This window comes from Homo sapiens, chromosome 18 (genome assembly GCF_000001405.40).
Source record: "Homo sapiens chromosome 18, GRCh38.p14 Primary Assembly".
NCBI lineage: Eukaryota > Metazoa > Chordata > Mammalia > Primates > Hominidae > Homo > Homo sapiens.
Genome location: NC_000018.10, coordinates 38745388 through 38760614, shown reverse-complemented (window position 1 = coordinate 38760614; position 15227 = coordinate 38745388). Strand labels below are relative to the sequence as shown.

At 36.5% G+C, this 15227-nt stretch overlaps 2 annotated features.

Moving 5' to 3' along the window:
• Positions 7926-7975: a silencer, noted in NCBI's record as "silent region_9409". NCBI's record gives its function as "represses an Ori minimal core promoter by ATAC-STARR-seq in GM12878 lymphoblastoid cells {active_cell/tissue: GM12878}" and the evidence as "EXISTENCE:reporter gene assay evidence [ECO:0000049][PMID:35858748]".
• Positions 8405-8484: a silencer, noted in NCBI's record as "silent region_9408". NCBI's record gives its function as "represses an Ori minimal core promoter by ATAC-STARR-seq in GM12878 lymphoblastoid cells {active_cell/tissue: GM12878}" and the evidence as "EXISTENCE:reporter gene assay evidence [ECO:0000049][PMID:35858748]".

Sequence of the window (15227 nt, the reverse complement as noted above, 5' to 3'; positions counted from 1 at the left end):
ACTGATCTTTTTTTTTTTTCTTTTTTGAGATGGCAGGAGTGCAGTGGCATGATCTCAGCTCACTGCAACCTCCGCCTCCCAGGTTCAAGCAATTCTCCTACCTCAGCCTCCTGAGTAGCTGGGACTACAGGTGTCCACCACCATGCCCAGTTAATTTTTGTATTTTTAGTAGAGATGGGATTTCACCATGTTGCCCAGGCTGGTCTCGAACTCCTGACCTCAGGTGATCCACCCATCTTGGCCTCCCAAAGTGCTGGGATTACAGGCATGAGCCACCGTGCCCAGCCTATGTGAACTAATCTTTATAGGTCCCCTTTACATCATTCTTATCCCAATGGCCTCTGTCTTCATTTTTTGATATTGTTGTTATGTTTTCATTTTGTCTCAATCTCCACTCTTAAACCTGTGACTTGTCACTTTGAAACCTTGCTTTGCCTTTTGCCTGATACATTCCTGGAAATCCACCCCAATTTCCATTCTCTGGTCAGAAGTCTTTGTATTTGTCTTAATATCTCTGTTCTAAATGATGGGTTTTGTTTTTCTCTGGGTTGATAACCTCTGGGAAGATAACCTCTCTATTCTATCTCCTCTTCCAGTTTTGTACTTTCTTCCAATACTAAACCCCATCCCACAGCCCATTTACTCTCTTTATTCTCTTGTTTTCTAGATAGAATCTGACATGTAACATTTACATAAGCAAGTGAATAGTTTTAATGTATTTTGTGCCCTTCCTCTATATATGAATATTACAGAAACAATGAGACTGCACGCCAAGCAATTTCAGGAATTATAAAACTATGGATGTATGTGAGACAATGCTTGTAGACTTACAATACAGCAAATTTTTTCAGAAGTGAATTAAAAGTTGTCTAAGGTAAATTGTCAGTTTCTCCTGCTGTAGACATTCCTGACAATTTGCTCATGCTAGTAAGCCAAGAGTCATCCCTTTAAAAATATTACTCATAGGAGACATAGTGTCTTCTATTGTGTGTAATTACAATGAATTATTTCAGATAATAACATTGGAAAATGATAAAAAATGTTGTATGGCCCCTGTGCCTTGTGTACTGCCCTATCCACATCCATATTGCCTTATAATAAAATGGCAAATGGCTTATTTGCTTTTTGGTTTGGGTAGGTACTGGCTGAGTTGACACACTCTTAAATTTCATCTATTTTCAATCAAATGCTCTACATAAACTTGGCTTCTCTCAGCTGTCTGAGCCCATTACTAAGTTATATATTCCTTTTTCATTGCTCCATCACAGTGCTATAGATTTGAATGACACAAGTCATCTGTGATTGCACTTATGAAAGGTTCTATAGTAACTTAAGATATTGTTTTCAGATTGGACCACATTGTGCAACTCATATCCTAGTTCTGCCTTGACTCCCAAAAGGACTTCTTATGTAGATAATAATATATTTGAATAAAAAACATCCAGTCCAAAATATTTGCACACACAGTAATTGAATGACTGCAGCTAGAAGATAATTTTCTTATTATTAATCCTGAACAGTTTAGCTCTACAGAATACCTGTACATTTCCAATATGTGCTCAGTTTCATTGAATTTTTTTTTCTCTCTGACATCTGGTTATTTAATCTTCTGCCAACATTGTGTCTGTAAAGCATATTTTTCCAGCTATGCCCACTCAGCTTTTAGACTATTGATGTTTTCATAGAGAACAGTGCATGTGTGTCAAATTTAGCTATTGATCTATGTTTATTTGTTAATGCATACAGTTGTTTAGACAGTGTTATGGCTTGCCTGATTATGGATGTATAAATAAAAGGAGGGAAAAGAAAAAAATACTTCTTTTTATATAAATTTCATTGTTGAGTAAAGACTGTTTATTTGAATCGAAAATCCATTGGAATCAATGTTTCTTTAGATATGAGTTATCTTTTTCCATTTTTCAATATCAAATGGAAGTAATAGGATGTAGAGCTATAATATAGAGAGAATTCTATTTTTCAACAAAATAAATCTTTTTTAACCATATTGTGTCAAATTGTCTTAAAAATAAATTTTCTGTATACTCCAAAATATTTCTCCCTATTAAATACTGTCAAAACAAGATTTATTTTTTAATTCCCACCTATTAAAGATTCTTTGCTAAAAGTTTTCAAATATAACATCTTGCTTGAGTAATTTTGTTACTAGTCATTTTCCAGTACTGATTTTCTCTACTTATTCTGTGCAATATTTAGGATGAAGCTGCAATTTAAATAGCTTTAAAAGTATTAATATTGACCTTTATTTTCATCAAAACTGGCAAAAAGCAATGCACAAACATAATGTTATCATCGTGCAATTTCAGTGTGTGGCAGTCTTAAGGCAGATATAAAGAGAAGTAAAGCATGAGTTACTTGAGAGAATGTAAACATGAAGGCCCATATTTAAGATAACTAACAATCAAACATCCAAACATACAGTAAGTTGCAATTAGAACTCACCACTTCACAACTACATGCTTTCGGCTAGGCATAGTGGCTTGTAATCCCAGCATTTTGAGAAGTCAAGGTGAGAGGACTACTTGAAGCTAGGAATTTGAGACCAGCGTGGGCAGCATAGTGAGACTCTGTCTCCACAAAAAAATTTTTAAAATTAGCAAGATGTGGTGGAACACGACTAGTCCTAGCTACTAGAGTGGCTGAGTGGGGAGAATTACTTGAGCTCAGGAGCTTGAGGCTACAGTGAGCTATAGTCACTCCCCTGCACTCCAGCTTGGGTGGCAGAGCTTTGGACATTTCACAGAGCTTCCATACCCATGACCTTAAGCAGCATGCTACTGATGAGAAATGTGTACTTTTTCTGAGAAACACACCTCTTTGACTTAGGGAGGAGACTTACAAAAATGAAACGAAATAATTTGCTGAAGACCATATAGCTAATCATTATCACATTAGAACTAGGTCTGAGGTATCCCAAGCCCAGATTGCCTTGGAAAATGCTTATTACTTAAACAAGAATCCAGTATGTTCTAGCACAATATAGGAAAAACTATAGTATACCAAAGGCCTGAGTTTAAATCTGGCTCTACTAGTTACAAAAGGTTTGACCTTATGCATGTCACTTATTCTCTTTCATGTCTGAATGAATCCTCAAATCTTTAGGTTGTTTTAAAGATTAAATAACAAATTTTTAGGAGCTTAAATAGTATGCTAGAAGCTGAGGATATATCAATGAATAAAACATAATTCCCACTTTCCAGAAGAGCACATTCTTTTGGAAGAGAAAGAAAAGTAAACTAACATTCAGTGAGAGTACTGATCCATGAATAAAGATCAACACAGGTGTTAAAGGAGCACCTGGAGGAGCACCTGCCCACGTCAGGCCAGGTGGGGCTGAGGATGAGAAAAAGCTTCCTGAAAAGATGGTGCTTGCCTTGGTTTTGAACAGATACACAGATGCCATTCAGGAAGGCAAGGAGACATTCCAGGAAGAGGGATCTGCAAGTGCAAAAGAAAGAGGCAGATAAACCATAATAATTTTCAGGAACTGCAAATGATCCCATATATAGTCTCTGGATAGGGAAATGAGAATATCGAGATGAATCATAAACTCTTATAAACTTTAAAAAATTTATTTTGATGTGTTTGGATTTTATTCCAAAACAAACATGTACCAGTAAAGTATTTTGAGTACAGGATTTTCTTTGAAAGATCAGTTTGATGACACCATAAAGTATTTACAGTATTAAAACTATGTTCACACCCAAAGAATGTATTATAGGATAAATACATTTCCTTTGTTTATAATTTTTAATTGTTCTCGAAACTAATAATCTTTTTTTAATAGTTATTATATATCCCTCCATTTGTTTTTACTTCTTCACTTTGAACAGGCATATACTACAGTTGCCTCTTAGGAAAGTGTGTATATGAAGGATACTTGAGACTTTTCACATCTAAATCTTCATTCAACCTTCAGATTTATTGACTACTTGCCCAGGAGTAAATTCCAGTTGGAAGCAGATTTCCTTTAGATTTTGGAAGTATATCTGCTTGCCTTCCAGATTCTGGTGTTATCGATCTGAAATTTCATGCCTTCTGCTCTGCAATTCTTTGAATGAGACAAATCCTTTCCTCCTGGGGGATCTCCCCTCCATCCCTTCTCCCCTTCATCTCTATTATTCAGAAAATTCATTAAGATGAATCTTGGCTTGAATTTAATGGGTCTTTTCCATCTGGAAATCTATGTCCCTCAGTTCTGAGACATTTCATTTTATTATTACCTTGATAACTCCCCTCTCCACCAGTCCTCATTTTCTATTTTCTCTCTTTCTGTGTCCTCCATTAAATATAGGAATTTCTGATTTGACCCTTTAATGATCTTACATTTGTCTTTCTATTTTCTATGTCTTAATAATTTTGTTCTAGTTTCCAAGAGATTTTCTTAATTTCAGTTCTAACTCTATCCATTTTTATTGTATAACTTACGTATTTTAAAAAATTCTAAGTTATCCTGTTTATAACATTCTATTATATTTTCATGAATGAGATATTGTCTCACATCCACCAAATATAACTTCCCAAGGCAAAATCTATTCATCAACATATCCTGAGTGCTTGGAACAGTATCTGGCATAGATGCTTTATGCTCCTGCTTAATGAATATTTGTTTCATGAACAAATAAACGATGCTCACTGAAGCATTCAATTATAGTTTCACTGAAGATTTCTTCAGATTCCTGTTTTGTCTCTATTTCTTTTGGTTTGTTATATTGTGTGATTTTCTTTCCTGTCTTTCATTTAAAATTTTACTTAAAGACAAAATAAAACAAATCAATGGTGAACCTTAGATATTATCCATATTTAAGAGTGAGATCCAAATGTGTTGATGAGAAACTATGCATGTCATGGGCAGGGCTAGAATGGCAGACTCTACCACAGTATTATAAGATGGGGACTTGGCTGTCTCATTCTCTTTGTCTTTTCCAATATCTGCACATCTTTTCTCTAGGGCTGGGGGATTTCCTTGTAGAATAATACTTCCAGTCTCCTGCCTAGGGGCAATAGTCCTCACTTTCAATATTCTGGGAGTTTGTGAAGGGAAAACAGCTACAGAAGTGGGGAATACATATGTAGCTTCTTTTGTTTGTTTTTTCAATTCTTTCATTTTTATCACGGCATCTCCATCCCTCACCTTTGCCCGTCTCTGAGGCAAGTACATTGCTGTGCACCCTCTCTCAAGGGTAAACTTTATTTATTCTTCTGAGTGGAGGAGGAGTCTCTTGACAGCATGGACTTTGAATTGGAAACTTTGTCTCAAACTGTTCTTTTAATAAATGCCAAAAAAAGTCCACTCTATTTTCAAACCCAATCTGAAACTCCCAAACTTGACAGTATCTGATACTTCAATTTCTGACTTTTTTTTTTTCCCAGAGTGGATCATATTTCTGTGTTTTATACCATAAAACTAATTATCTTCTCTAACTCTCCAGTCTGCTAAATCAGTTATTACTCATACAACTGTTTAGTCAAAAGTTTTGCTTGCCGTTTTAGTTTGATGTTTTCTCCTGTTAAATTTTCTTTGTTTTTGTGGGCTTATTTTTTTGACAAGTTGCCATTGTAATGGAGTTTCAAGAAAGAAGAGCTACAAATGTATATGTTTTTGTTCCAAAATGTACAATTAAATTATTTTGAACAGAAGGATAGATACAGAGAAAGAAAACTGGAAATACCACAATTTCTTAGAACAGTTCTTCTGTAAACAGCAAGCACACCTGTAAATTATTTTTTGTAGCAGAGTCATTAATATTGTAGGTATATTTCAGGTTTCTTTTTCAGTACTACTACTGCAACTCTGGTGTGTTGAAAGAGTGATCATGCTACCCAAAAAGAATTGTTTTCTCTTTTGTAACCCTTTGCATGTTCTGTGTCCAGTTGAAACTTTCTGGTACTTCTTTTCTTGTTTTAACCTGGGAGACTCTCTTATATACCTTAAATATAGTAAAAATATCATTATATTACACATATGTACCACTGATAGAATTGTTTTAGGTAGCATAGATGGCTAAATTGAACAGCAGAAGTCTTCCCAAATAACTCGCCATTCTCTCTACTCCAATTCACTTTCCAATCTCTAACCCACTAGTTTTCCTACTCACATTTTTGTGCACTTTAGGAATTATTTAACTCTGCTTGTTACATATATTAGATTTATTTATGAAGGTTGAGTGATGGAAAGAGACTTAAAATCAGACAGACCTAGATTTGAACTTGAATTTGGCCTTCCCTGCTAGCCACATGACCTGAAACCAGTTATCTAATGTCTCTGAGCTGCAGTTCTGTAATCCTTAAAATGGGAATAAAGTAGCACACACTTCATTAGGCAGTCATGAAGCATAACGCATGTGATAAACTGAAAGAGTACAGCTTTTTTTCCACATATTTGTTTGCAAGTGATAAATATATAAACCATTAAAAGTTAGAAAAGAGGTCTATATTTTGATGAGCCTTTATACATACTATATTCAAATATTTTAAATTTGAGTAACTAACTGAGCTGACTGAAAAATCTCTAAAAATAAAGACAAGATAATCAGCAGAAAAACAGAATGAAAAGGAAACCTGAAATTGGCAGGTTTGGTGAGGAACAGTCATTTAACTAGGATACCTTCTGACCATAAAGTCTGTTTTTTTTCCTAGTTCAGGCTAAACATTTTATAATATGAATTTAGTTATGTTTCCTGATTATATCTGGCACCCTGAGTGATATAATAAAAAATATCAACAATTTTGTCAATCTCTACCCAGTGCCCTTAACAAACCATGTTCCCCTCAGAAACACAGAGACAATCACAAATACTGCTATTAAGGATTCACATTCTGTGACCTCTAGGGCTTGACCTCTTGGAAATATGCATTGTTCTGGGAATTCAGAGAAGGGAGAGAAATGCAGACTGGAAGATATGAGGTTGCAGATGGGAAGAGGCCTTAAGTAAAGACCGGAAGCATGTCCAGGGTTTGATGGTTTGAGGAGAGTGGGACACATTAAAGAAGGAGAATAGTTTAATTGAAGACCCAGACAGGGGCATGTGGAGAAACATACAGGAGACTGATGATATCAGAGAAAACCACAGCCATGGTTGGACAACTGGAGTTGGCCCCAAAATATCCAAAAGATTTGATTGTAAAATAAAAGTTCAGAGAAGTGAAGTGACTTATTCAAGGTCACAGAGCCAATGAGTAGCCAAGTCATAAATGCATCCTTTAGTCCGGGCCTCTTTTTGATTCTGTGTTCTAAGGTTCCCACGGAGTTTGAGTCAGCATTCTAGGTATTAGGGCAAATACATAGAGGCACACACATTTGATCAATTTTTATAAGAATCGTAAATTCGGAAATCCACACATAGTCAATGCTAGTAACTGTCACCTGGACCTGATATAAAAGCCAGGTCTGAAAATGCAGCCTGAAAATGAGCCTGCTTCAGTCTGGAGTTTTCCATTCACACAGCGAATACAGCCCACATCTAACAGACACCCTGTATGATATGCACATGAGTTGCATATGGATAACTGCACACTGGTTACATGACTTCTCGCTGAGGCCCTGCTTCCCATGGCATTACACTGGGCATCGCTTAGGCCCACAGTACGTCTCATGAATGATTTGCTCCTTGCACTGGTCCATGTCCTGTTCCTTTTTGCTCATAATAAGGTAAAGTGCCCCAGCACATTTTTGTCTCCTACTTATTCCTGTTTCTGTGTTCCATTTCTTGGTTCTAATCTCCATTAAAATAAAGACTAGAAAGGAGAATATCCCCCAAATAATGGGTAGAGTCTTGACATCAGGAATGGTACTCTATACCTAATTGGGCACAAGTCATGACTTGGCTACTAACTGGCTTTGTGACCTTGAACAAGTCACTTTACTTCTCTAACTATACCCAACTGGGCACAAGTCATCATCTACCTTCTTTCTGTTTTCCTGAAATGAGTCACTGTCTTCTCACCTTCTTTGTAAGCTCCTCTATGCAGGAACTGTGCTTTATGCTTTGTCCTCCAACCCACAAAAACACAAATTGCCCAGCCTAAAATTTGGGCATCTAGCATCTAACAACTGTTGATTGATGGGTGGATTGGTTGAAAGCAGAATGAGTATTACTGGCCAAGTAATTATGCTGATGGATGAAGAGAAAGGAAACGAAATTCATTAATGCAAGTATCATTGTAGCCTTCTCTGCAGCAGTTTCCCTATTTTTGTGTATCTTGTTTATCCCCATCTCCCCTGGAATGCCTTGTGTGGTTATCCAAGAATATCTTCCCTACACTTTCTCCCCCTCATGTAAACTCTCACCTCTTTCTTCCCCTGGTACCTCCTGTGCCTTCTCGGGGTTTGAATTCTTAAAAGAGAACATGTAAACATTCTCCTGCAGCCTGCTGCCTGCCAGAGCCAAAGGCGTTGTCAGCGACAAGCCAGCAGCGGCAGCACGGTGCTGGGCTGTGTTTTTGCAAGTACAAGACAGAAAATCCATGTAATTACCTCTGAAGCCTGAGAAGCTGTGCCGCCTGACAGAACAGCATGTGTAGGAAGCACTTTGTCAGGACTCTGCTGACTAATTTCCCACTCCACCTGGGGTTGTGTGTGTGAGTGTGTGTGTAGGCGTGGGTGTGTGTGAACATGCTGGCGTCTGTAAGTCCCACCAGCAGCTCCCTCATATTTAACTCCAAGACTCCAGCCCCTCTCTTATTTACTGGCAATCCCAGCACTGCTTTATCTTAATTCAGAGGAAATCTGGGCTTTGGAAGGCCCTCAAGATAGCCTTACAACATGGCAGGAGGCAGTCTTCCCTTTCCCTGGCATTCAGTGCCGCTGTTCAGAAATAGAGCAAAATCTACTTCCTGCAACACATTGGCCATAAAGAAGTCCAAACCCGGCATTCCTGAAGGTGAGAAAACCAAATCTTCCCAAAGTAGAGTCCCTGCTTCATCCTGAGAAGCTGTAGGACCCAGAGCATCTCAACACGTGCTCTTGGATCTTGCACCCTCATTCATTTAAAGGTGTTGCAAATTAGCTTGAATGTCTAGGTCCACTTTCCAGGGGAAACCTAGACTGAGAGGGAAGTCCCATGGAGTCAAAGAGGAGGGATATAGTTATTCTTTATCTTGCCTTACTACAATTATGAACCTTGGATGATTCTTTACCTCTTGCTGACTGATAACCACATATGATGAGGGGATAATTGAGTGACAGAACTGGGTTCAAAGCATATGGCTGTTAGTGACTACATTGGGGCTTTCCCCACGAAATTGCAATATCTTAAGGTAGAAGGTTTGGTCTTTTTTTCCTCCATCTCTGTATCACCAGCACATGTAACAGTGTTTGGCACACAGTAAGGACACAATAAATATTTGTTGAATGAATGAAAGAATTAATAAATGAACGCATCAAGACAATTCAGCTTTCTAAGTTTCTTTTTTTTTTGACATGTTAAAAAAAGTTCAATAACATTTATTTCCAAGGTTATAGTGTAGTTGAATGGAATAAAACAGTCATGGGACTCTATATAAATAGGCACTACCTTATTTCCCTATCATCAAAAACGAACAGCTTAAGGAACATTTTTCCCCAATTAATGGTTGGCACCCTGAATATGATTCACTCTATGACATGCCTGGAGTTTTGCCATGGACATGTTTGGCATCATGTGGAGAAAGAAATAACCATAAGGGGAAGCTCACACTATTGTGTAGAAACTTGTTTCTCCCTGTAGCCTGACAGATAAGTTCCAAAATCTATAAGAATCCCAGTAGGAATCTAGGAGGCAGGCATACAGCTCAGTGGGCAGCCAGTGTTAAGACTCGCTGCCAGGCCTTCTGGATCCCTTGGTTGCAAATCCCACTCCCCGCAAACAGAGAGGCTGTGCTTTCAATCCATTCCCTTTCCAATTGCCTTGGACGAATAATTTGATGCACAGATTTATAATAAAAGATAGGGAGCTGGAGATGAAACCCTTTACTTGGATATTTGCATTTTATGAGTGTACACCTAAATGTAAAGAATGGGTCAGTATTAGTGACATTTAAGGTATCTGTGAAAAATAAATCTCTGACTGCTTGAGATGTCATAAGGAATGGTCTATCGTACTGTTGTACATTAGCCACCCATCACTGTGCCCGCTACACATGGGCTATCGATGAAGAGTGGGTTTCAATTTTACTCATGAAGCTGGCTTTGCTACCAAGTTCTTTGAGTGGGAATACTCATTGGCTTCAACCTATTGCTTTGATAAACTTTACTTTTTTGGAAACTTTGTGTTTGGAAAGTATGAGCAGTCATATATACACAACATCACTGGTGTTAGATATAGAAGGTGGCTGTAATCAGCCAAACCAGGCCCCAACAATTCCCCATAGAATGTCTGCTAATGTTTTGTCAGCTGAGTTTTATATGACTTAAGCAAAAAGACAGAGCCCCATGAGCAGCATGGCTGGAATTATGAGAGCTAATAATGATAATGATGAATAATTCATAAATGATAAATCTGTGGTGTTTCCTACATAGAGATTTCTCTAAAGGACTTGGGCTGAGAGACTTAGGCAGCAAAGCACTTTCTAAGCATGCAAGGGTTAATGAAGAAATAGAGCAAGACTAACAGGAATTCTTTCTCTGTTGGCCCAGGATTTAGTGCCAGAGGAAGCGGCTTTGCTTTTCTCTCCTGCCCCTGACCCTCAGGCTACCACCTTGATTAATAAACCCAATCATTTCTGACTTGTACATGCTACTGTTCATGCTACCAACTACCCCTTTTGAAAAATCTAACCTAAATAAGAACTTCCATTCCCCCACAGTAAATATTGAAGTTTCTCAAATCTCTAATAATAATAAAAGTTTGTTAGTAAGAAGACTGCTATGGTGTGACTGTGTCCTCCTAAAATTCACATGTTAAAACTGAATCACCAAAGTGATGGTATTAAGAGGTGGGGCTTTTAGCAGCCTTATAAAAGAGGTGGAGAGAACTGTTCACCCCTTCCACCATGTGAGGATACAGCAAGGAAACAGAGCAGCCCTCGACAGACACTGAGTCTGTTGGTACCTTGATCTTGATTTTTCAGTCTCTGGAACTTTAAGATAAATTTCTATTGTTTATTTGCTACCCAGTCTCAAGTATTTTGTAATAGCAGCAAGGATGGACTAAGCACCAAAATTGTGTGGCCCCAAATTTTCAGGGTTTTGTTCTTACATTAACTTGTAAACTGTATTTCTATTATACTTGGCCTAGTTTGAAGAATTGGTCAATAAATTGACTCCCCTTATATCTCTAACAGATATCAGTTTCGTCTTGTTCCAGAAAATTACTTTTCTCTCTCTTGTTTTTGTGAGTTCTAAATAGGGTGTGAGATAAGAATTAAGCCTACAACTGAAAATATTAATTATTTCTGTGTGAAGAGTAAGTGGTAGCTTGAGGATTCATGAGAAGAGAATGAAGCAAAAGAAAGCATAGGATGGGAGAAAGTGTTCATGAAATATCTGGGCAGAAACTGGAAAAATAAGGATCCACATCAACAAAAATGATCTGCCTGTATATTAAAAATAAAACACTGCACTGAAGTCCACTAAAACATTTTAGTGGACAGCACAGCAGCATATTCACTGTTTCTATGCCCAAGGAATGTAAAACTGACTTGATATGCAGGGCATTAAGAAATAAACAAAAGTAGTTACATAATCATACATGTGACAATATGGGAGATGTTGGGGAAAATAGACAATTAATTGTGAAAGGAGTAGTAGTGAGGACGTACTGTAAGTTTAAAGGCCTAAGAAAGTCTGAAGAAACTCAAACCAGATGCTATCTCTGTTTACAAATTCTAAATGCCTGGTTTCACACAAATGCATCGCAAATATGCCCCCACAATAAAACAAGTTCTGTGAAAGTTAAATAGCATATGCTACTCAGAGTTCACTCTATGTAGGCAGCCAGTCTCCCCTAAATGAACAAGAGGGTGGATGGGAAAGATAACCAGTAACATCAGCTCACTGGACAGGTTTTTCTGAATGCCCTTGAACCTCAAATAAGACTGGGAACTTACAGAGACACAAAGAAAGTGAAGATGTGAGCATTTTCCTTTGTCTGTCACTTGCAGACTGCGTGGCCTTGGTCAAATAATATCATTCTGATCTTGTTTTCCCTTCTGTAAGGACAGAATAAGCTGGGAGTGGTGGCTCACACCTGTAATCCCAGCACTTTGGGAGGCCAAGACGGGTGGATCGCCTGAGTTCCAGCAGTTCAAGAGACCAGCCTGGCCAACATGGTGAAACCCTGTCTCTACCATTAAAAAAAAAAAAATTAACCAAGCATGGTGGTGTGCACCTATAATCCCAGCTACTCGTTAGGCTGGCAGGAGAATCACTTGAACCTGGGAGGCAGAGGTTGCAATGAGCCAAGATTGTGCCACTGCACTCCAGCTTGCCTGGGAGACACAGCAAGACTCCATCTCAAAAAAAAAAAAAAAAAAAAGACAGAATAATAGTAACGATTCTAAATGCTATCTATCAGTGTCATGAAGTGATTAGGTGAGACAGCATATATCAAAGCACTTTTGGATACTTAAGTACAATGCAGAATTTTTAACGGCTTTCTTGAAGTATAACTGACAAAATAAACTGTAAATTTTTAAAAAGTATAATTTGGCAATCTTTGACATATGTGCCCCTGAAACCATCATCCTAATCAAGGTAGTGAACATATCCATCATGTCCAAAGTGATGCTCCTCTGTAATACCTCTTTCCTGTCTTTCCCTCCTTGCACCTCCCCAGGCAACTACTAACCTGCCTTATGTCACTGTAGATTAGTTAGCATTTTTCCAGAGTTTTAGATAAATGGAATCATGTAACATGTTCTATTTGTTTGGCTTCTTCTACTCAGCATAATTATTTTGAGATTTTCTCATGTTGTGTGTTACTCATTTTTACTTTATTCGTTTTCATCGATGAGTAGTATTTTACTTACTCCACAAATTGTTTATCCATTCACCATTGAAGAATATTTGGGTTGTCTGCAGTTTTTAGCTATTATAATAAAACGGTTATGAACACTTATGTACAAATAGTTATGTACAACTAACTGAATAAGCAAGCTTTCTTTTCTCTTAGGTAAATATCTGGAAGTAAAATGGCTGGATCACATAACAGATTATGTTTAGCTTTTTAAAAAAACAGCCAAACTGTTTATTGAAAAGATTGCTCCATTTTACATCCTTACCACCAGTGCTTGCGGGTTTCACTTCCTTCAAATCCTTGCCGAAACCAAACGTGATGAGCTTTTTAAATTCTAGTCATTGTGTAGGTGTGTGGTGGTGTTACCTCACTGGACTTTTAATTCGCATGACTCTAATAACTAACAATGTTCTGCATCTCACGTGCTCATTCTTCATTCCTTTTTTAGTGAAGTATCTGTTTAAATATTTTGCCCATTTATATTGAGTTGCTTTTTTTTTCTTATTATTGAATTCTGGAACTCTGGATATAAGTGATTTTTCAGAAATAAGATTTGTAAATATTTTCTCCTTCTCTATAGCCTTTTTTTCTTAACTGTCTTTTGAAGAGTAGGTTCTAATTTTGATAAAGTCAAATTTGCCAATTTTTTTTCTTTTTAATAGTGCTTTGGTGTCCTATTTAATAAATTTTGGCCTATCGTTAGTCACAAAATTTTTTTTCTATATTTTTTTCACTAGAAGTTTAATAGCTCTAGATTTTATATTTAAATGTATGATCTATTTTGACTTGATTTTTCCATATGGTGTAAAGTGTAGATGAAAGTTCATTTTGTATGTGCATATTCAGTTGTTCTAAAAACACGTGTTGAAAATACTGTTTCCACAGGACTGCCTTTGCACCTTTGTCAAAAAATTATTTTATACATATATAGACAAGTCTGTTTCTGAACTATATTCTCTTCCATTAACTTATTTATCTATTTTATGCCAATACTACACATGCTGTTTTGATATCATAGTTTTGCAATAATTCTGAAAACCATGTGATGTCAGTCCTTTGATCTGTTTCCCTTCGTTAGAGGTGTTTTAACTATTGTGTTACATTTCTGTATGAATTTTAGTATTAGCTTTTCATTTAGCCGTAACTTACATCTTAATAATAGTGAATATTCTGGCCTATGAACAAGATATATTTCTTTATTTAACCAATTCTTTAATTTATATCAACATTTTCTTTTAGTTTTAAGGATACATGTCTTTCATATTGTTTGCCCAACGAATCTCTCCAGATTTTACAGTTTTGATTTCTTGTGATTTTTTTAAAGTTCTTATTGTTTATTGCTAGTACATATAAATATAATATATTTCTGTATTATAATCTTGCATCTTGCATTCTCTCTAACCTAAGTTATTACTACAAGTAGCATTTTGGTAGATTCCATCAGATTTTCTATATAAATGATCAGTTAAACATCTTTCTTTCCAATATAGTGCTTTTAGTTTCTTTTCCTGGCTTCATGGCACACATCATTTTACTTAGCCTGCCATTTAATGTTGACTGGAAGTGGCATATTTGTCTTGTACCTAATATTATAAGGAAAGGATTCGTTTTTACCATAGTGTATGATGTTATTTCCTGGTTTTTTTCATAGATTTCCTTTATCTGGTTGAGAAAATTCCCTTCTATCCTTAGACTGCCAATAACTTTTGTCAAAAATCGGTAATAGATTTGGTCAAATACTTTTCCCCTTTGATTCTATTTAGCAGAGCATGTGATTTTTTTTCAGTTTGTTAATACAATTAGTAGCATTAACTGCTTTTTCATTGGTAAATAAATCCCACATTCCTAGGATAAATGTCACTTAATCATTATATACTATCCTTTTATATATTGCTGAATTCAAAGAGCCAACATTTTGTTTAAAATTTTTGTATCTAGTCACATGAAGAATATTGGTTTGTAGTTTATTTAATTAATAATCCCTTTATTTTTTTCTATCAAGGTAATATTGAAATCAATATCTACTGAAAGAGTGTGAGTGGAGTTGGTATTATGTCATACTTAAATGTTTGTCCAATACATCTAAACTGTTGAAATACTAGGCAAAAAGTTGTTCTTAATATTTTATCAACACTTAATATCTATAGAATCTGTAGTGATGCCACATGTCTCATTTCTGTTATTGGTAAATTGTGGCTTTTCTCTTTTTTTCCTGATCAATCTGGCTAGAGTTTTACCAATTTAATTAGCCTTTTCAAAGACCCAGCTCCTGGT